This window comes from Homo sapiens, chromosome 19, assembly GCF_000001405.40.
Source record: "Homo sapiens chromosome 19, GRCh38.p14 Primary Assembly".
NCBI lineage: Eukaryota > Metazoa > Chordata > Mammalia > Primates > Hominidae > Homo > Homo sapiens.
The window spans coordinates 38,485,265-38,506,404 of NC_000019.10; the positions used below are offsets into that span (position 1 = coordinate 38,485,265).

General features: G+C 53.1%; 1 protein-coding gene across 6 annotated transcripts in view, besides 2 other annotated features; it reads left to right on the plus strand.

The window, feature by feature from the left end:
* Positions 1 to 21,140, plus strand: part of RYR1 (ryanodine receptor 1) — a 153,874-nt gene that overhangs the window by 51,574 nt on the left and 81,160 nt on the right. For all 6 annotated transcript variants that reach the window (NM_000540.3, XM_011527205.3, XM_006723317.3 and 3 more), the window contains exons 34-55: positions 326 to 938; positions 3,913 to 4,179; positions 4,812 to 5,012; positions 5,357 to 5,468; positions 7,226 to 7,372; positions 9,088 to 9,361; positions 10,951 to 11,065; positions 11,145 to 11,277; positions 11,596 to 11,690; positions 13,844 to 13,979; positions 14,371 to 14,557; positions 14,644 to 14,752; positions 15,342 to 15,462; positions 15,557 to 15,726; positions 17,243 to 17,463; positions 17,616 to 17,706; positions 18,956 to 19,096; positions 19,484 to 19,647; positions 19,739 to 19,817; positions 20,045 to 20,134; positions 20,542 to 20,682; positions 21,039 to 21,113. In NM_000540.3, the coding sequence (NP_000531.2) occupies positions 326 to 938; positions 3,913 to 4,179; positions 4,812 to 5,012; positions 5,357 to 5,468; positions 7,226 to 7,372; positions 9,088 to 9,361; positions 10,951 to 11,065; positions 11,145 to 11,277; positions 11,596 to 11,690; positions 13,844 to 13,979; positions 14,371 to 14,557; positions 14,644 to 14,752; positions 15,342 to 15,462; positions 15,557 to 15,726; positions 17,243 to 17,463; positions 17,616 to 17,706; positions 18,956 to 19,096; positions 19,484 to 19,647; positions 19,739 to 19,817; positions 20,045 to 20,134; positions 20,542 to 20,682; positions 21,039 to 21,113 (3,682 nt within the window). The remainder of the gene's footprint in view (positions 1 to 325; positions 939 to 3,912; positions 4,180 to 4,811; positions 5,013 to 5,356; positions 5,469 to 7,225; positions 7,373 to 9,087; positions 9,362 to 10,950; positions 11,066 to 11,144; positions 11,278 to 11,595; positions 11,691 to 13,843; positions 13,980 to 14,370; positions 14,558 to 14,643; positions 14,753 to 15,341; positions 15,463 to 15,556; positions 15,727 to 17,242; positions 17,464 to 17,615; positions 17,707 to 18,955; positions 19,097 to 19,483; positions 19,648 to 19,738; positions 19,818 to 20,044; positions 20,135 to 20,541; positions 20,683 to 21,038; positions 21,114 to 21,140) is intronic.
* Positions 10,571 to 11,462: an enhancer, noted in NCBI's record as "H3K4me1 hESC enhancer chr19:38986475-38987366 (GRCh37/hg19 assembly coordinates)". NCBI's record gives its function as "activates a minimal SCP1, AML or CMV promoter by ChIP-STARR-seq in primed H9 embryonic stem cells {active_cell/tissue: H9 hESC(primed)}" and the evidence as "EXISTENCE:reporter gene assay evidence [ECO:0000049][PMID:30033119]".
* Positions 19,926 to 21,125: an enhancer, noted in NCBI's record as "BRD4-independent group 4 enhancer chr19:38995830-38997029 (GRCh37/hg19 assembly coordinates)". NCBI's record gives its function as "activates an origin of replication core promoter dependent on BRD2, P300/CBP, MED14 and CDK7 cofactors, and independent of BRD4, by STARR-seq in HCT116 cells {active_cell/tissue: HCT116}" and the evidence as "EXISTENCE:reporter gene assay evidence [ECO:0000049][PMID:35650434]".

A 21,140-nucleotide genomic window follows, 5' to 3' on the forward strand; every position in this document is an offset into this window, starting at 1 on the left:
TCCCTTAGGGACTTCCAGAACCATTGAAAGACTCCTAGACCCAGCTCCACTGCCCTCACAGAACCCTAAGCTAGGAGGCCACTGGAACTCCCTGCTGCAGCCTTCGACACTCGTCTAAGCATCTCTGCCTTTCTGGGGTCTGTGCCTCTGTCTCCCATCTTCTCCCAGGATGGGTGAATTGATAGATGGAATGGTAGGGGTTTGAAGGAAAGACGAATGAATAAATGGGTGGATAGTGATGAAGGAAATGGAGGAAGAGATGGTGGCTTGACTGATGCAGGAGGCTCATTCATCTGTCCCTGTCTGTTTCCCACCTCTGCTGCAGGTGCATGGACATCCTGGAGCTGTCGGAGCGCCTGGACCTGCAGCGCTTCCACTCGCACACCCTGCGCCTCTACCGCGCTGTGTGCGCCCTGGGCAACAATCGCGTGGCGCACGCTCTGTGCAGCCACGTAGACCAAGCTCAGCTGCTGCACGCCCTGGAGGACGCGCACCTGCCAGGCCCACTGCGCGCAGGCTACTATGACCTCCTCATCAGCATCCACCTCGAAAGTGCCTGCCGCAGCCGCCGCTCCATGCTCTCTGAATACATCGTGCCCCTCACGCCTGAGACCCGCGCCATCACGCTCTTCCCTCCTGGAAGGAGCACAGAAAATGGTCACCCCCGGCATGGCCTGCCGGGAGTTGGAGTCACCACTTCGCTGAGGCCCCCGCATCATTTCTCGCCCCCCTGTTTCGTGGCCGCTCTGCCAGCTGCTGGGGCAGCAGAGGCCCCGGCCCGCCTCAGCCCTGCCATCCCGCTGGAGGCCCTGCGGGACAAGGCACTGAGGATGCTGGGGGAGGCGGTGCGCGACGGTGGGCAGCACGCTCGCGACCCCGTCGGGGGCTCCGTGGAGTTCCAGTTTGTGCCTGTGCTCAAGCTCGTGTCCACCCTGCTGGTAATGGCTTCCTCCTGCTTTCCTCTGTCCCATTCTTCTCCCACATTCCCAAAACTCCAGAGATACATGCATCAATCCTCCTCTATTTATGCATCCAACCACCCATTCATTCCCTCCTCTATACATCCATCCACCTTTCTTTTTATTATTATTATTTTTTCGAGACGGAGTCTCACTGTCGCCCAGGCTGGAGTGCAGTGGCGCAATCTCAGCTCACTGCAACCTCCGCCTCCCAGGTTCAAGCAATTCTCCTGCCTCAGCCCCCCGAGTAGCGGGGACTACAGGCATGTGCCACCACGCCCCGCTAATATTTGTATTTTCAGTAGAGACTGCTTTCACCATGTTGGCCAGGCTGGTCTCAAACTCCTGACCTCCTGATCTGCCCACCTTGGCCTCCCAAAGTGCTGGGATTACAGGCGTGAGCCACCGCGTCCGGCCTCCATCCACCTTTCTATGTATCCTCCCACCATCTCCCTATCTTTCATTCACCTTTCCCTCCATCTGCTCACCTGTCATCTCTTTATGTTTATTCATCTCTTCTTTCTTCCTATTCATCTATCCAACCAACCATCATTCATCCATCCATCAATCCATCAGTCCTCCACCAGCCTTTCCATCCACCCATTCATCCTATCCATTCATGTGTATAGATCATCTTTCCATCAACAAGATCTTTCCATCAACATCTTTCCATCTGCCTTTCTATCCTTTTGTTCTCCACCCACTCCATTCATTCATTCATGTACCCATCTATCCAAGTTTCAATCTATTTGCCCATCCATCTTTTCATTCATTCATACAGCAGTCCATCTACCATTCCATCTGTTCATCTATCCACCTACCCATTTATGTATTAATCTATCTTTCCTTCCGTAGGTCCAATAATCATCTCCTCCCACCTATGCGTCCATCCATACCTACATCCACAGATCCATCCGTTCCTCCAGTTCCCACCTACCCTTCATCCATCCATCCATCTCTCCATTCATATGTACGTACACCCATCCACCTACCCACAAATCCATTTAGCCATCCACACCCATCCATCTACCCGTTCCCTATCCTTCTCTCCATCCCTTGTATCATGTACCCTTTTATTCGTAGACCCATCTAACTATTCATTTATATATCCATCTTTTTGGTTTTGTTTGTGTGTTTGTTTGTTTTGAGACAAAGTCTTGCTCTGTCACCCAGGCTGAAGAGTGCAGTGGAGCAATCTCAAATCACTGCAACCTCCGCTTCCCATGTTCAAGAGATTCTTCTGCCTCAGCCTCCCAAGTAGATGGGATTACAGGTGCCCGCCACCATGCCCGGCTAATTTTTGTATTTTTAATAGAGATGGGGTTTCACCATGTTGACCAGGCTGGTCTTGAACTCCTGACTTTGTGATCTGCCCACCTCGTCCTCCCAAAGTGCTGGAACTATAGGCGTGAGCCACCGTGTCCAGGCAAGACAGGGTCTCGCTCTGTCACCCAGGCTGGAGTGCAATGGCACAATAATGGCTCACTGTAGCCTCAACCTCCTGGGCTTCAGCAATCCTTCTGCCTCAGCCTCCTGAATAGCTGGGACTACAGGTGTGCACTACCATGCCCAGGTAAGTTTTAAATTTTTTGTAGAGGTGGAGTCTCGCTATTTTGCCCAAGCTGGTCTTGAACTCCTGGGCTCAAGCAATTCTCCCACCTTGGCCTCCCAGTGTTAGGATTACAGGCATGAGACGCTCTGCTCAACCTAATTTTGTTTTTATTTATTATTTTTAATTTAATTTTATTTTGTAAGAGACAGGGTAATGCCCAGGCTAGAATGCAGTGGTATGATTGTAGCCCACTGCAGTCTTAAACTCCTGGGTTCAAGTGGTCATCTTGCCTCAGCCTCCCGAAGTACTGTGATTACAGGTGTGAGCCACCACACCTGGCCCCAACTTTTCATACACAAACCTATCCAGCCATGTGGCCAACCATCCCCCCACCCTCATGGCTATTCACTAATTTATCTATTTATCCACATATTCATTTACTTCCTCATGCATCTATCAACCCATCCATCACCTACTCACCTACCTATACATCATTTATCCTTCTCTCATCCATCCACCCATCATCTCTTCCTCCATCATTTCCTTCATCTCTCCATCATCATCCACTTATTCATCTTTCCTTCAAACCTCTACCATTCCGACTCGGGATTCATCCAGCCAGCCATCCAATCCTCCCTCCATTCATCCATCTCTCTCTCTCCCCTGCACTCTTCTTCCCTTTCGTCTACTCCCTCTTTACTTCCATATGTTAGCATCTTTTAAACTTTAATTTATTTTGTTTTTGAGACAGACTCTCCGTCTGTCATGCAGGCTGGAGTGCAGTGGCATAATATCAGCTCCCTGCAACCTCTGCCTCCCAGATTCAAGTGATTCTCTTGCCTCAGCCTCCTGAGTAGCTGGGAATACAGGCGTGCACCACCACACCCAGCTAATTTTTTTTTGTATTTTTGTAGAGACGGGGTTTCACCATGTTGGCCAGGCTGGTCTCGAACTCCTGGCCTCAAGTGATCTGCCCGCCTTGGTCTCCCAAAGTGCTGGGATTACAGGTGTGAGCCTCGCCTCATGTGTTAGCATCTTCATTATGTTGACTGAGAGCTGGTGTATGCTGGGAGCTATGCAGGCGTAGGGTGTGTCCTGGGCCAGAGGACACAGCACATGCTTAGGCTTGGGAGAAAGGACACTCGCCTGTGATGGGAGAGGCACTCATATTTGGGTCTGTGGTCTGGGCTGTGTGGGTGGGACACAGGGTGTGGACCTGGGTGGATCTTAAGGAGGGTGGATGGCAAGGCGGGGGATGCCATTCCTGCTGTGGGAGGAATCGGATCAGCCAATGCAGGAATGATTGGCATGTGCATGAGGGGCAGGTCTGGAGAATGAGGCCAGGGCCTGATGATGGAGGCCTTGCAGGCCACAGTGAAGAACCGAGACTTTGTCCTGTAGGTGATGGGCATCTTTGGCGATGAGGATGTGAAACAGATCTTGAAGATGATTGAGCCTGAGGTCTTCACTGAGGAAGAAGAGGAGGAGGACGAGGAGGAAGAGGGTGAAGAGGAAGATGAGGAGGAGAAGGAGGAGGATGAGGAGGAAACAGCACAGGAAAAGGAAGATGAGGAAAAAGAGGAAGAGGAGGCAGCAGAAGGGGAGAAAGAAGAAGGCTTGGAGGAAGGGCTGCTCCAGATGAAGTTGCCAGAGTCTGTGAAGTTACAGGTGGGCTGCTGCTTCCTGCTTTTCGGCCTCTGTCCATCTGGGCTGGGAGACACAGGGTAGGTGGGATGTGAGTCTGGACTTCGTCCTCAGGCAGTGGGGAGCTGTGGAAATGCATATGGCAGTGAGCAATGCCAACTTGGAAAGATCTCTGTTTTCCATGGAGATGAGACCATGGAGAAGGCAGTCTTTTTTGTTTGTTTTTTGCGACAGAATTTTGCTCTGTCACCCAGGCTGGAATACAGTGGTGCGATCTCGGCTCACTGTAACCTCCGCCTCCCGGGTTCAAGCAATTCTCCTGCCTCAGCCTCCTGAGTAGCTGGGATCACAGGCATGTGCCACCACGCCCAGCTAATTTTTTGTATTTTTAGTAGAGATGGGGTTTCGCCATGTTGGCCAGGCTGGTCTTGAACTCCTGACTTCAGGTGATCCACCCACCTCGGCCTCCCAAAATGCTGGGATTACAGGCATGAGCCACCATGCTTGAGGAAGGCAGGCTTAAGGTTCCAGGCGGGAAATGATTTTGGCTGGACCTGGGCAGGGCCATGGAGAGGGGAGAGGAAGCAAGAGAAGTTTCAAGGAAGTCCTGATGGTCTCACCTCCATCTCTCCTCCCACACGGCTGTCCTTCCACAGATGTGCCACCTGCTGGAGTATTTCTGTGACCAAGAGCTGCAGCACCGTGTGGAGTCCCTGGCAGCCTTTGCGGAGCGCTATGTGGACAAGCTCCAGGCCAACCAGCGGAGCCGCTATGGCCTCCTCATAAAAGCCTTCAGCATGACCGCAGCAGAGACTGCAAGACGTACCCGCGAGTTCCGCTCCCCACCCCAGGAACAGGTCATCTGACCCCTGACGCTGGCCACTTTTACTGTCTAAACCCCAACCTCAACATCTCCTGACTCTGATCACTGAGGACCCTCAACCTCTAAACCCGTGCTTGACCCCTGACCCTAGTGATACATTTATCTCCTACTCTCTGAATCAACCTGACCTCTGAGTCACCTCAGACTGATGCTGACTCTTTTCAAACCTCTGGCCCTAGTCTCCCAAATAGTCTTCATTAACTCACACTTCGACTCATGACCTTAGACATGGACTAACAATTGCATCTTCTATCTCTGATCTCAGAGTTCCTGCTTTGGGATCTCAGACCCTCATTCTAATCTTTGACCTTCCCCTAGATCAATATGCTATTGCAATTCAAAGATGGTACAGATGAGGAAGACTGTCCTCTCCCTGAAGAGATTCGACAGGATTTGCTTGACTTTCATCAAGACCTGCTGGCACACTGTGGTAAGGAGTGGGGATCAGAGAGTCCTCCCCATGCTAACTTTCTCTCGAGACCTCTCCAGAAGTTTCCCTAAGATTTCCTGACAACCCTCTACAGTATCGGTGCTATGTAACTATTGGTTGAATGAATGAATGAGTGAGTGAATGAATGTGTTAGTGAACAGTTAGACAATGCGTGTTTATATGGGTATTTGGGTGGATGGCTATAAGCCAGATAAATGAATGGGTATGTGAATTGATGGATAGAAGAAGTGGGTAAAAAATGGCTGGCTGGATAGATGGAAGGATGAAGAGAAGGATGGATGGATGGTTGAGAACTGGGTGGAGAGATGGCTGGCTGGGTGGAAGGACAGATGGATGACCTCCATAGTTTCTGATGAGAAGTCTGCTGATAGTCTTACTGAGATTCCCTTGCACATGATGAATTATTTTTCCTTGGCTGACTTTTAAGATTTTCTCTTTGTCTTTGCCTTTCAACAATTTAGTATGACGTGTCTAGGTGTAGAGCTCTTTGAATTTATCCTGTTGAAAGTTTGTTGAGTTTCTTGGATATATACTTACTTTTTATCAAAGTTGGAATATTTTTGACAATTATTTATTCAAATACTTTTCTGCCCCTTTCCTCTTCCTCTGGGACTCTCATTATGCATATATTGGTACACTTGATGGCATCCCACAGGTCTCTGAGGATTTCTTTCATTTTGCTTTTTTTTTTTTTTTGAGACGGTCTCACTCTGTCACCCAGCAGGAGTGCAGGGGCACAATCTTAGCTCACTGCATCCTCTGCCTCCTGGGCTCAAGCCATCCTCCTACCTCAGCCTCCAAAGTAGCTGGGAGAACAGGTGTGTGCCACCACGCCTGGCTAATTTTTTAATTTTTTTATAGAGTCGGGGTTTTGCCATATTGCCCAGGCTGGTCTTGAACTCCTGGGCTCAAGCAATTTGCATGCCTGGGCCTCCCAAAGTGCTGGATTACAGGTGTGAGCCACTGCACCTGGCCCATTTTTCTTCATTCTTTTACTTTTCTGTTCTTCAGGCTAGACAATCTCTATGTCCTATCTTCAAGTTCACTGACTGTTTCTCCTATCAGCTCAAATATGCTGTTGAACCCCCCTAATAATTTTTTATTTCAGTTATTTTATTTTTCAACTCCAGAATTTCTATATTTTAACAGTCTGCCTTTTTATTAGTATTCACTACTGGATAAGTCACTATTATGATATTTCCTTTTAATTCTTCAGACATGGTTTCCTTTAGTTCTTTGAACATATTTGCAAAATTGATTTAAAAGATAAATGTTTGATAGAATGAATAAATGAACAAATACATGAACATACAAAGAAATAAATGAGGCCAGGGGTGGTGGCTCATGCCTGCAATCCCGGCATTTTGGGAGGCTGAGGTGGGTGGATTGCTTGAGCTCAGGAGTTCAAAACCAGCCTGGGCAACATGGCAAGACCCCCATCTCTACAGAAAAAGATACAAAATTAACAGGGCATGGTGGCATACACCTGTAGTCCCAGCTACTCAGGAGGCTGAGGTAGGAGGATGGCTTGAGCCTAGGAGGCAGAGGTTGCAGTGAGTTGACATCATGCTACTGCTCTCCACTGCAACAGAACAAGACACTGTCTCAAAAAAAAAAAAAAAAAGGAAATGAAAAACTCCATGCATGCATGCACATATGCACAAATAAATGAGTGTGTAAGCAGGTGAATAAGCAAACTAATGAATGACATTTCCCGCCTTCTTGACCACTTCCAGGAATTCAGCTAGATGGAGAGGAGGAGGAACCAGAGGAAGAGACCACCCTGGGCAGCCGCCTCATGAGCCTGTTGGAGAAAGTGCGGCTGGTGAAGAAGAAGGAAGAGAAACCTGAGGAGGAGCGGTCAGCAGAGGAGAGCAAACCCCGTGAGGACTGGGGTCACTGGGGAGAGGGCAGGGGTGGGGTGGGTAGCCCCATGCCTGCGGAGCCTCTGGGTCCCAAAGAGGGCATGAGGACAGATGCAAGGGAGGGGTAGATAGGCAGGAGTGAGAGGGGAAGAGTGGCGGGCAAAGTGGAAGCAGGCGTGGTGGCTCACGCCTGTAATCCCAGCACTTTGGGAGGCTGAGGCGGGTGGATCACTTGAGGTCAGGATTTGGAGACCAGCCCGGCCAACATGGTGAAACCCCCTTCTCCACTAAAAATACAAAAATTAGCTGGGTGTGGCGGTGCATGCCTGTAATCCCAGCTACTTGGAGACTGAGGCACGAGAATTGCTTGAATGCAGGAGGTGGGGGTTGCAGTGAGCCCAGATTGCGCCACTGCACTCCAGCCTGGGTGACAGAGCGAGACTCTGTCTCAAAAAAAAAACAAAAACAAAGATGCATGCTGGAGGTTTGCCTCCAGAGATGGGGGCTGTAGAACGTGTGTGTTGGACCAGGGTGACACAGCCTACCAGCTTAGTGGCAAACCTCTAACTAAGGGATGGCGGTAACCCTGAACCACTGTGGCTTCCGTGGCCTTGGGGCTTCTCTTTTCTTTCTTGATGAGAGGATTACCATGCTGAGGGATTAGACAAGCAGCTATCATTAATGTTGGGCCAATGTGTTATTTTGCAAACTGTATATTAGCCACATCTAACAAGGACAGATTTCCTGACGTTGGTACAGGTTTTATCCCACAACATTCAGGAAACTTTTATGGGGCCAACTATGGGCCAGGCACTGTTACCAGGGCTGGGAAATACAGCCGAGGGGGGAAAGTCAAAGCCCCTGCCCACGAGTTTAGATTTTTTCTTTTTCTTTTTCGTTTTTTTTTTTTTTTTTGAGGCAGGGTCTCACTGCGTCGCCCAGGCTAGATAGAGTGCAGTGGCGCGATCTTGGCTCACTGCAACCTCCGCCTCCTGGGTTCAAGCGATTCTCCTGCTTCAGCCTCCAGAGTAGCTGGGACTACAGGCGCGCAGCACCATGCCTGGCTAATTTTTGTATTTTTAGTAGAGACGGGGCTTCACCATGTTGGCCAGGCTGGTCTCAAACTCCTGACCTCAGGTGATCCACCCGCCTCAGCCTCCCAAAGTGCAGGGATTACGGCTGTGAGCCACCGCACCCAGCCAAATCCACAGTATTTTTATAGAACAAGTGGGATTGTGACATGTGCCTTCAAAGGTGCATGGCGAAGTGCTTCTGGTCGGCTCTGGTATCTTGCAGTTGTACAGTTTATTATTCCTATTGAAATTTTTAGGAAGCCCTTGTGGGCTGGATATTAGGGTGAACAGAACAGAGAGATTCTTGGGCGAATAGAAAAAAGTTTGCCAGGCTGGGCACAGTGGCTCACACCTATAACCCTAGCCCTTTGGGAGGCCACAGTAGGAGGATCACTTGAGCCCGGGAGTTCGAGGCTGAAGTGAGCTGTGATAGCCCCACAGCACCCTAGCCTGGGCAACAGAGCAAGACACTGTCTCTAAAAGAAAAAAAGGAAAACAATCTGCTAGAATCTGCCTGCTCCCAGCAGGTGGAGGGCGCAGGTGGTAGTAACTGGGAAAACTTCTGGAACAGGGGGCCCCTTCCACATTGTTCTGGTCCAAGGCCCCATGTGCCGACCTGCCCTGCATGGTGCTCCAAGCCTTGCATTGTCTCCTTCCCAGGGTCCCTGCAGGAGCTGGTGTCCCACATGGTGGTGCGCTGGGCCCAAGAGGACTTCGTGCAGAGCCCCGAGCTGGTGCGGGCCATGTTCAGCCTCCTGCACCGGCAGTACGACGGGCTGGGTGAGCTGCTGCGTGCCCTGCCGCGGGCGTACACCATCTCACCGTCCTCCGTGGAAGACACCATGAGCCTGCTCGAGTGCCTCGGCCAGATCCGCTCGCTGCTCATCGTGCAGATGGGCCCCCAGGAGGAGAACCTCATGATCCAGAGCATCGGGTGAGACACCGCCCTTCCCCCTTACTTTGCATATCCCCTTGGGTAATGAATACCCTCAGGATACAATAACATTCCCTTCCCCAACTTCTGGCCCATCCTCTGGGTGATCTCAGTCTCTCGATGGCTAGCTCACCTCCTGGGTAATGTCTCCTTCCCTTACCTCTCCGCCCTCAGTGGTAGCAGCTCCGCTTCTGTGTGACTCTCAGCAGGACATTCCCCACCCCCCCCTTTTTTTTTTTTTTTGTGAGACTGAGTCTCACTCTGTCACCCAGGCTGGAGTGCAATGGCGCAATCTCAGCTCACTGCAACCTCCGCCTCCCAGGTTCAAGCAATTCTCCTGTCTCAGCCTCCCAAGTAGCTGGGATTACAGGCACGCACCACCATACCAGGCTAATTTTTTATATTTAGTAGAGACAGGGTTTCACCATGTTGATCAGACTAGTCTCGAACTCCTAACCTCAGGTGATCCACCCGCCTCGGCCTCCCAAAGTGCTGGGATTAGAGACGTGAGCCACCACACCCAGCTGAGGTTTACCCTTTTTGAGCTTCAGTTTCCTCATCTGTAAAACCGGGGAGAGCCAAGCCTACTCTGAAGGGTTGTGCTGTGGCTTCAGTGAGCTCATGCGAATAATAATAATTATGGTAGCAGTATTGAGCACTCATTGTCAAATAAATCTCATTCACACAGTAAACATTTATTAAGCACCTACTTCGTGCCAGGCATTTCTAGGTGTTTTTGAGACAGGGCCTCACTCTGTTGCCCAGGCTAGAGTGCAGTGGCCCAATCACAGCTCACTGCAGCCTCAACTTCCTGGGCTCAAGCGATCCTCCTGCCTCAGTCTCCTGAGTAGCTGGGACTACAGACACACACCACCATACCCAGCTAATTTGTAAATTTTTTTGTAGAGGTAGGGTCTTGCTATGTTGCCCAGGCTGGTCTTGGACTCCTGGGCTCAAGTGATCCTCCTGCCTTGGCCTCCCAAAGGGCTGGAATTACAAGGCAAAAGCCACCATGCTGGGACAACATTTGACAAAGGGCAACATGGCAAAGATCTCTGCCCTAGAGGAGCCTGCCTTGGGTGCACGCCTCAGTCTCCTTATGAGGGAAACAGGGACCCTTCCTCCCACAGTGGCTGTAGGAATTTTTTTTTTTTATTTTTTGAGATGGAGTCTTGCTCTGTTGCCAAGCCTGGAGTGCGCAATGTCTGCTCACTGCAACCTCCGCATACCGGGTTCAAGCGATTCTCCCACCTCAGCCTCCTGCGTAGCTGGGATTACGGGTATGCGCCACCACGCCTGGCTAATTTTTGTATTTTTAGTAGAAATGGGGTTTCACCATGTTGGCCAGGCTGATCTCGATCTCCTGACCTCAAGTGATCCTCTAGCTTCGGCCTCCCAAAGTGCTGGGATTACACGCATGAGCCACCGCACCCGGCCAGCTGTAGGAATTGAGTGAGTTCAGATCTGTAAAGGCGGTGGTGCTAGGCACAGAGTGAGAGGGTCAAGAATGCCAACGCTGTCACAGTGGTGGCTATGGCCCTCTCCGGACCTGGGCCCCTGGTGACCCCGCACACTCTGCCCGTGCACAGGAACATCATGAACAACAAAGTCTTCTACCAACACCCGAACCTGATGAGGGCGCTGGGCATGCACGAGACGGTCATGGAGGTCATGGTCAACGTCCTCGGGGGCGGCGAGTCCAAGGTGAGGGCCCAGGCAGGTGCTGGGGAGCTCAGGGGAGGCAGCCACAGAGGGCAGGCCCTGACCACCCTGCCTGTCCCAGGAGATCCGCTTCCCCAAGATGGTGACAAGCTGCTGCCGCTTCCTCTGCTATTTCTGCCGAATCAGCCGGCAGAACCAGCGCTCCATGTTTGACCACCTGAGCTACCTGCTGGAGAACAGTGGCATCGGCCTGGGTGAGAACCCCCGAGCCCAGGGGCTGTCCCCCAGAACCCACTCCTGGCACCCCGTCCAGGCCTGCCCCACTTTCCACCAGCTCACTCATTCAACAAACACTCCCTCTCAACTGTGGTTCTGGCCCTGTAATGAGTAATGCTGGGGACACAATAGTGACCCCAATAGTGACAGCCCAGAGTGGTCAGAGCTTGGATGAGGGAAGTACAGACCAGAGGAGGCACCTGATCCAGGCTGGAAAAAGGGTGGTCAGGGAGGGCTTCCCAGAGGAGGCGAGACAAGCAGGAGTGAGATGTTCTCCCCACCTCTCGCCCCTGCAGGCATGCAGGGCTCCACGCCCCTGGACGTGGCTGCTGCCTCCGTCATTGACAACAATGAGCTGGCCTTGGCATTGCAGGAGCAGGACCTGGAAAAGGTGTGGAGGGCAGGGCTGGGCCCCAGGCCTAAGGGAGGAAATCGGGCCGCTACCCGGCTGCTTGGGACACCTGCTGATTCCAAACTCATTCTGGGGGGCAATTCTGGATGGTCCAGTGCCCAACCAGAAGGAGACTAATTTGCAGGGAGAGAACGGCACCCAGTTGTTCATTCATGGGATGCTTCCTGGCTGTGGGCCGGTCCGCACTCCACGCTTCCCGTCTGGGGGCAGGTCCACAGTCTACGCTTCCGGGATGGGGGCGGATCCGCACTCTAACTTCCAGGCTGGGGGCGGATCCGCAGTCTACACTTCCGGGCTGGGGGCGGATCCGCACGCTACGCTTCCGGGTTGGGGGCCGATCCACAGTCTAGGCTTCCAGCCAGGTGGCCTTGGCACATTTCTTCGCTCTCCGAGCTTCCACTTCTGTGTACAGTGGTGAAATGCGTGGGCTCCAGACTTCAGCAACTTTGCTTCTGCTCCCCTCGCTCCCTGGCTGTGTGGCCTTGGATAAGTGACTTAGACTCTCCAGACCCCTGTTGTCTCATCTGTACAATGAATGTAGTCATAGAAACGACTTCATGGAGTCATTCTGAGGATTAAATGAATTAATCCAGTAAAGTGTTTGTAAAGGGGCAGTCAGTAACGTTAGCTGCTGTTATATTATCATTCAACAAATATGTAGTGTTAGCTTACCATATGCAAAGCAGTAGCAATATGACAGTCAAAAATCCCTGTCTGGCCAGGCAAAGTGGCTTACATCTATAATCCCAGCACTTTGGGAGGCCGAGGCAGGAGGATCACTTAAGCTCAGGAGTTTAAGACCAGCCTGGACAATATAGGGACACCTTGTCTCTACAAAAAATACAAAAAGTAGGTGGGTGTAGTGGCACGTAACTGTAGTCCCAGCTACTCAGGAGGCTAAGGTGGGAGGATTTGATAGAGCCTGCGAGGCTGAGGCTGCAGTGAGCTATGGTCACACCACTGCACTTCACCTCAGGGACAGAGCGAGACCCCTTAAAAAAAAAAGTGGCCAGAGAAAGCCTCATTGAGAAAGTGACATTTGTGTAAAGCTCTGAAGGAAGGTGACAGGTCAGGTGGTCATCATGGGGAAGAGCATTCTAGGCAGCGGGAACAGCCAGTGCAAAGGCCCTGAGGCAGGAGCAAACCTCATAAGCTGGAGGAACAGCAGAAAGACAGCTGTGGCTGGAGCAGAGGTAGTGAGGGTGAGGGCAGGAGGTGACAGGTGGGTCATGTGGCATCTCATCGGTCACAACAAGGGCTCTGGCTTTTACCCTGAGTGAGAGGAGGCCAGGATTCTGAGCAGAGGAGGGACGTGACCTGACTCAGGTGTTCACAGGGTCCCTCTGGCTGTGTGTGGGGAACAGATTGAGGGGAAGGCAGAAGGACAGAAGGACAGGGAGGAGGCTCGTGTTGTGGTCCAGGTGGGAGACAAGGGTGGACAGAACCGCTACAGGAAAGGGGTCTGGATCCAGGCCCAAAGAGAAGGTTCTTGGATCTCATGTAAGAAAGAATTCAGGGCAACTCCATAGAGTAAAGTGAAAGCAAGTTTATTAGGAAAGTAAAGGAATAAAAGAATGGCTAATCCATAGACAGAGCAGCCCCAAGGGCTGCTGGTTGCCCATTTTTATGTTATTTCTTGATGATATGCTGTTTAGCATAACAAGGGGTGGATTATTCATGCCTCCCCTTTCTAAACCATGTAGGGTAACTTTCTGATATTGCCATGACATTTGTAAACTGTCGTGGCGCTGGTGGGAGTGCAGCAGTGAGGATGACCAGAGGTCACTCTCGTTGCCATCTTGGTTTTGGTGGGTTTTGGCCGGCTTCTTTACTGCAGCCTATTTTATCAGCAAGGACTTTATGACCTGTATCTTGTGCCAACCTTCTATCTTGTTCTGTGACTTAGAATGCCTTAACCATCTGGGAATGCAGCCCAGTAGGTCTCAAGCTCCTGTTCAAGATGGAGTTGCTGTAGTTTACAGGCCTCTGACAGGACCAGGGCTAATGGGCCGAGGGATCAGAGCTGAACCGGACTGAGGAGCCGCAGGGCAGGGCAGGGCAGGGCAGAGGGCTGAGCCCCAGGAGGAAGGTGGCATGGGTCTGGTCTCTGACTGAGCCCCTTCTGCCCCCAGGTTGTGTCCTACCTGGCAGGCTGTGGCCTCCAGAGCTGCCCCATGCTTGTGGCCAAAGGGTACCCAGACATTGGCTGGAACCCCTGTGGTGGAGAGCGCTACCTGGACTTCCTGCGCTTTGCTGTCTTCGTCAACGGTGAGGAGGGGGTGGCAGTGGCAGAGCGGGAAGTATGGAGTCACTGGTCACACACCTCCCTCGAGATGACTGCTCGCACCCTGAGCCACAGATGGGGTCCAGGCAGGAATCCCTTCCAGCAGGCCTGGGGCTGGCAGGGGCCTGTGTTACCCCTGGAGGTGTTGGGTCCTGTGGCTGGCAGTGTTGGATCCTGGGGCTGGCGGGAGCCTGGTGTTACCCCTAGAGGTGTTGGGTCCTGGGGCTGGCAGGGGCCTGGTGTTACCTCTGGAGGTGTTGGGTCCTGGAGCTGGATGGGACCTGTGTTACCCCTGGAGGTGTTGGGTCCTGGGGCTGCATGGGGAGGTCTCTGATGGTGGCTCATGAGACCCCCTTTCCCCATGCGGGTGGCCAGGCGAGAGCGTGGAGGAGAACGCCAATGTGGTGGTGCGGCTGCTCATCCGGAAGCCTGAGTGCTTCGGACCCGCCCTGCGGGGTGAGGGTGGCTCAGGGCTGCTGGCTGCCATCGAAGAGGCCATCCGCATCTCCGAGGACCCTGCGAGGGATGGCCCAGGCATCCGCAGGGACCGGCGGCGCGAGCAGTGAGTCTCCCGGCCCCCTCCTCAATAGGGCAACCCGCCCTCCCTGGCCCCTGGCTGCCTCCCCAACCCACCCACCTTCCCTGCAGCTTTGGTGAGGAACCGCCTGAAGAAAACCGGGTGCACCTGGGACACGCCATCATGTCCTTCTATGCCGCCTTGATCGACCTGCTCGGACGCTGTGCACCAGAGATGCATGTGAGACCCTGAGCCAGGGCAGGATGGGAAGGGAGGGCAGGCACAGCCGCTTTGAACGCCTCATGCAGGCACTCGGTGACACGGAGTGAGCTCCCATATGTGGGTGGTCCTGGACTAGCAATGTTGGGGACACAACAGTGACCAAGACAGCCCCAGGGCCTGGTCTCACAGAGCTCCCAGTCCAATGGGGGAGACGGACAGTGACACCCAGAGTGGTCAGGGCTGGGATGGGGGAGCACAGGAAGAGGGGTCGGGGCTGGGATTGCAGGGCACACGGAGAGGACTCAGGATGGGGATGGGGAACACAGGGAGAGGGGTCAGGATGGGGATGGGGTCACAGGGATAGGGGTCGGGGCCAGGATGAGGGGTCGCAGGGAGAGGGGTCAGGATGAGGTTGGGGGGAACAAGGAGAGAGGTCGGGACTGGGGTGGGGGGGCACAGGCAGAGGAACGAGGGCTGGAAACTCTAGACAGCCTCCTGAGAAAGAGGCCTGCTCTACCCTCCTGTGTGGTAAGGGAGGGAGCAGAGCAGTCACTGAGTGGGGCACCAGCGCCTGATGAGTGCCCCTCTCCCTCCCTCTACTCCCCAGCTAATCCAAGCCGGCAAGGGTGAGGCCCTGCGGATCCGCGCCATCCTCCGCTCCCTTGTGCCCTTGGAGGACCTTGTGGGCATCATCAGCCTCCCACTGCAGATTCCCACCCTGGGCAAAGGTGCAGAGGGGATGGAACTTGGCGAAGGAGTGATGCTGGGGAGGGAGCGGCTGGGTCCGCAGGGCATCCCCGAACCCACCCTCCCTGCCTGCAGATGGGGCTCTGGTGCAGCCAAAGATGTCAGCATCCTTCGTGCCGGACCACAAGGCGTCCATGGTGCTCTTCCTGGACCGTGTGTATGGCATCGAGAACCAGGACTTCTTGCTGCACGTGCTGGACGTGGGGTTCCTGCCCGACATGAGGGCAGCCGCCTCGCTGGACACGGTGAGCAACCCTGCCCAGCCTGGCCACCCTCCCCACTTCCACAGAGGGACAGGAGATGGGTCACGGTAGAGCAGCAGCAGCTGCTTTTGTTTTTCTTGGGATTGTGGACATATCATAATCCCCAATACCATCATCAAGATAGAAAATGAAAACGAAGAAACACTGAATTCCGATGAAGGGTGAGTAGGAATCTCCAAGACCTCCAGTTATAAGAAATCATCATTTGAGGTCAGGCGTGGTGACTCGCGCCTGTAATCCCAGCACTTTGGGGAGCCGAGGCGAGCGGATCACAAGGTCAGGAGTTCGAGACCAGCCTGACCAACATGGTGAAACCGCATCTCTACTAAAAGTACAAAAATTAGCCAGACGTGGTGGCGCACACTTGTAATCCCAGCTACTCAGGAGGCTGAGGCAGGAGAATCACTTGAACCGGGGAGGCGGAGGTTGCAGTGAGCCGAGATCGTGCCGCTGCACTCCCGCCTGGCAATGGAGCGAGACTCCATCTCAAAAAAAATATTTTGTTCGCAGTATTGGTTTGGTACTGTGGGCACACAGAACTCTGTACAGGAACAGCAATAACAGAAGGGTGACAGGGCAAGGAAGATGAGCACTGAGAAGTGACCACCGATTTGGCAAAGTCAAGGTCACTGGAAATGGGGATGAGCAGTTTCAGCAGGGGACAGAAGCCTTCCGAGAGGGGGTTTAAGAGAGCCTGGGGCTGTGCATGGTGGCTCACCCCTGTAATAACTTTGGGAGGCCGAGGCGGGTGGGTTGCTTGAAGCCAGGATTTTGAGACCAGCCTGGGCAACATGGAGAGATCCTGTCTCTACAAAAAAAATTTAAATATTAGCTGGGCATGGTGCTGCACACCTGTAGTCCCCTCTACTAGAGAGGCTGAGGTGGGAGAATCACTTGAGGGACAGACATTGAGGCTGCAGTGAACCATGATTACATCTCTGCATTCCAGCCTGGGCGACAGAGCGAGACCTTATCTCAGAAAAAAAAAAGAAAAATAAATTAGCCAGGCATGGAGGTGCGTCCCTGTAGTCCTAGCTACTAGGGAGGCTGAGGCAGGAGGATCACTTGAGCCCAGGAATTCGAGGCTGCAGGGAGCTATGATTGCACCACTGCACTCCAGCCTGGGCGACAGAGACCCCTGTCTCTAACAGATGAAAAAGAATGTATTACAGGAAGAAAGATGAGGGTTAGAGAGGAGATAAGCGTGCAGACCATTGATATTTACAGAAGAGCCAAATCTGTAATGGGGTTCATTAATCTCATCGACCAGTTGTGTGTGTTTGAAATTTTGCATAATCCAAAGTAGTAAGTGGTGGGGTGGGGGCTGTGGGCATAGGGGTGTGGGCATAGGGTGGGAGGAGGGTGGTAGAGATTGGGAGGAGCAGGTTTTGGGGGAGTCATCAGAAGCTTGGATCCTTTGGCCACAGTCGCTCAAGACAGGTGCCAGAGCAGCCCCAGGGGTGTGCAGCGGGCCTGATGTCCTCACCCTGCGCCCTAGGCCACTTTCAGCACCACCGAGATGGCGCTGGCGCTGAACCGCTACCTGTGCCTGGCCGTGCTGCCGCTCATCACCAAGTGTGCGCCGCTCTTTGCGGGCACAGAACACCGCGCCATCATGGTGGACTCTATGCTGCATACCGTGTACCGCCTGTCTCGGGGTCGTTCGCTCACCAAGGCGCAGCGTGACGTCATCGAGGACTGCCTCATGTCGCTCTGCAGGTGGAGCGGGGCAGGCTTCAGGGTGGGGCAGGGGCAGGGGCAGGGGCAGGGGCAGGGGCAGGGGCAGGGGCAGGGGCAGGGGGAGGAGCAGGGGCAGGGGCAGCAGAGCGGGCCTGGACGGGGGATTCTACATCTTGTGCATTGTCCCGCAGGTACATCCGCCCGTCGATGCTGCAGCACCTGTTGCGCCGCCTGGTGTTCGACGTGCCCATCCTCAACGAGTTCGCCAAGATGCCACTCAAGGTGAGGGCAAGCGCTCTTTAGCATCTCATTTCCAGGCCGCACCCACTGGTTTGCTCTTCCCTCCTACTGCGGGGCTCATTTGTGTCGGCACTGCCCAGCCCAATAAACCTGCACTAGTTAGGGCAGCGTCCCCGTAGAAATCTCTTAGCATCCTTATTTGCATACTAGGATTCCCAGAACATTCACTTTGCTTCATTGATGCCTCTAGCGTTCCCTAATTAGCATTTAATTTGCTTAACAGTGAGCCAGCCCCCGCTTCAATTAGCATATATTTGCATGGAGCACACCACTTTCCCTAATTAGCATGTTTATTTGCATGCCTGGACCACCAGACTTCCACTATTCAAATGAGTGCATTTATTTGAATAAACATTATCACAGCTATTCTGAATATTTGCACACTGTCTCTCTTATTTTTTCATTTGCATGCTAATTTGCATAAAGAGATACCCCCAACTCAGATATTTTGACTATTTTGCATAATACATCGAAATCAGCTCCTATTTCAAATTTGCATTTTAGCCAGGCGCGGTGGCTCACGCCTGTAATCCCAGCACTTTGGGAGGCCGAGGTGGGCAGATCACTTGAGGTCAGGAGTTCGAGACCAGCCTGGCCAACATGGCGAAACCCCATCTCTACTAAAACTACAAAAATAAGCCAGGCATAGTGGAGCACGCCTGTAATCCCAGCTACTCTGGAGGCTGAGGCTGGAGAATTTCTTGAACCTGGGAGGCGGAGGTTGCAGTGAGCCGAGATCGTGCCACTGCACTCCAGCCTGGTCAAGAGAGTGAGACTCCACCTCAAAAAAAAAAAAAAAATTTGCATTTTGGATAGTGGAGGCCCTCTTCCCAATTACCATATATTTGCATGGGGTGCAGCCTTTGTTTCTACTTGGTATGTTAATTTACATAAGCACAGATTGCTGCATCCATATGCCCATTTACTCACTACATACCCATGGATTAATATTAGCACGCTTATTTGTGTAAAGCAATACCAGACACAACCAGCTCTAGTTTAATGCCCATTTTAACTCTAAATTAAGAATGCTAAATTTGCATACTAAGCTGTCTAGGACCACTCCTCAATAAACATACCATTTCTTCCCTTATTAGCATATCATTTGCATAACCCACACCTCCTTCATAATTTAAAAGCACTGGCATGCCTGTGTCTCTCTGGGCCTTCGTCTGCCTGCCATTCGCTGGTGCCCCCCTCATTTGTGTGTCCCCCTCTTGTTCCCACCCAGCTCCTCACCAACCACTATGAGCGCTGTTGGAAGTACTACTGCCTACCCACGGGCTGGGCCAACTTCGGGGTCACCTCAGAGGAGGAGCTGCACCTCACACGGAAACTCTTCTGGGGCATCTTTGACTCTCTGGCCCATAAGGTCTGGGCAGCAGGGAGCCCCAAAATGGCCTATGTGGAGGGTTTGGGGCCCAAAATTGGGGGTCCAGAGTGAAATCCCTCAATTTTGGGGGGTTCAAGGAGGAGAAGGTTCTGCAAGTTTGGATCTAGGAGGATCTATGGGTTGAGGCTTCGATTTGGAGGTTATGAAAGAGGGGGTGGACCTCTAGTTTGGGAGCTTGGAGAGGGCAATATGGGGATGATTTGAGCATACAATTGGGACTGACATTTGGGTTTCAAGGAGAGGGACCATAATTCAGGTTTGGGGTTCAGGGAGGAGGGCTGATGATTGCAGTGTGTGAGTTTGAGGTCCTGGGGGTCAGTAAGGCTTATAGCGACCTCCTACCCCTGCTTCACCCGGTTTTCCCAGAAATACGACCCGGAGCTGTACCGCATGGCCATGCCTTGTCTGTGCGCCATTGCCGGGGCTCTGCCCCCCGACTATGTGGATGCCTCATACTCATCTAAGGCAGAGAAAAAGGCCACAGTGGATGCTGAAGGCAACTTTGATCCCCGGCCTGTGGAGACCCTCAAGTGAGGCCTGGGGGCTGGGAGACAGAGAGGAAGATTTCAGGGGTGGAGGGAACCCCAGCTCCAACATCTGCTGACCCTGTGCCCCCAACAGTGTGATCATCCCGGAGAAGCTGGACTCCTTCATTAACAAGTTTGCGGAGTACACACACGAGAAGTGGGCCTTCGACAAGGTTGGCCTCAGGGTCCTCCTATCCAAGAAACCCTCAAGACCCCAGCTTTCCCCCCGACCTGGTTCTTCCCTGAGGCCCCAGATCTCCCTGAGACCCCCCAGCCTTCCCTAAGACCCTTAGCTTGTTCTGGGACCCCCCCAGGATTCTCTGTCCTCGGCTCCTCCAGGGTCGCCCCGTGTGTCCCCAACTGCTGCCTCCCCCTCACCCTGCCTCCCCTCCATCTCTAGATCCAGAACAACTGGTCCTATGGAGAGAACATAGACGAGGAGCTGAAGACCCACCCCATGCTGAGGCCCTACAAGACCTTTTCAGAGAAGGTGACCAGGCCTTGGGGCCCAGCATTGAGGGTCAAAATGAAACCCCCAAATTTGAGGATTCGGGGAGGAGTGAGGCAATTTCACATGTTTGCATCTAGGTGGATCTGTGGGTTAGGTCTCCCCATTCATGGACTTTGCCTTCTCTCAAACTTGGTAGAGTGGGTAGAGACTCCGAGAGAGTGGGTTTGATTCCTTGGCTGTAGTAAGACTTCTCGGAGACTCAAGTGTCTAATGGGATAAGGAGATTGGGTTTGGGAGGCTCTGTTACAGAGCAGGTAAGAGACTTGAGTTGGAATCCAGACTGGACCATTGCCTAGCCACATGGTCAGGGTTTTCTCCTTTGGGGTCCTTCCTCCACCCCTCTCTCATCCCATTCCACCAACTCCCCACCCTCCTGTCCACCCCAGGACAAAGAGATTTACCGCTGGCCCATCAAGGAGTCCCTGAAGGCCATGATTGCCTGGGAATGGACGATAGAGAAGGCCAGGGAGGGTGAGGAGGAGAAGACGGAAAAGAAAAAAACGCGGAAGATATCACAAAGTGCCCAGGTGAAGGCGGGGCCTGGGTGGAGGGCAGGGGCACGATGGGGGGAGGGTCTAGAACAAGGGGCATGGCCAGACAGGGAAGGGATGGAGAGGAGAGGGGCCCAGGGAGGTAGGTGGGGCAAGAGGGGTGCAGAAACCTGAGATCTGGGAAAGGAGAGGGCAGGGGTCTGAAGAACTGCAAAGGGCAGAGGAGAGAAGGATGGGGTGGTTTAGAGACAGGGCCTTAAGGAAAGGACAAGGGGTCTTGAGCCAGGGGAGGGTGGAGGGGGTAGAATGGACTAGTGGGGCCTGGGGAGGGGCTGGCCTGGGCTTCCTGCTAGCCCATCAGCCCACCTCCCATCTTCCCCTTGTCCTCTCAGACCTATGATCCTCGAGAAGGCTACAACCCTCAGCCCCCCGACCTTAGTGCTGTTACCCTGTCCCGGGAGCTGCAGGTGAGAGCCCTGATCCTTTTGGGGGGA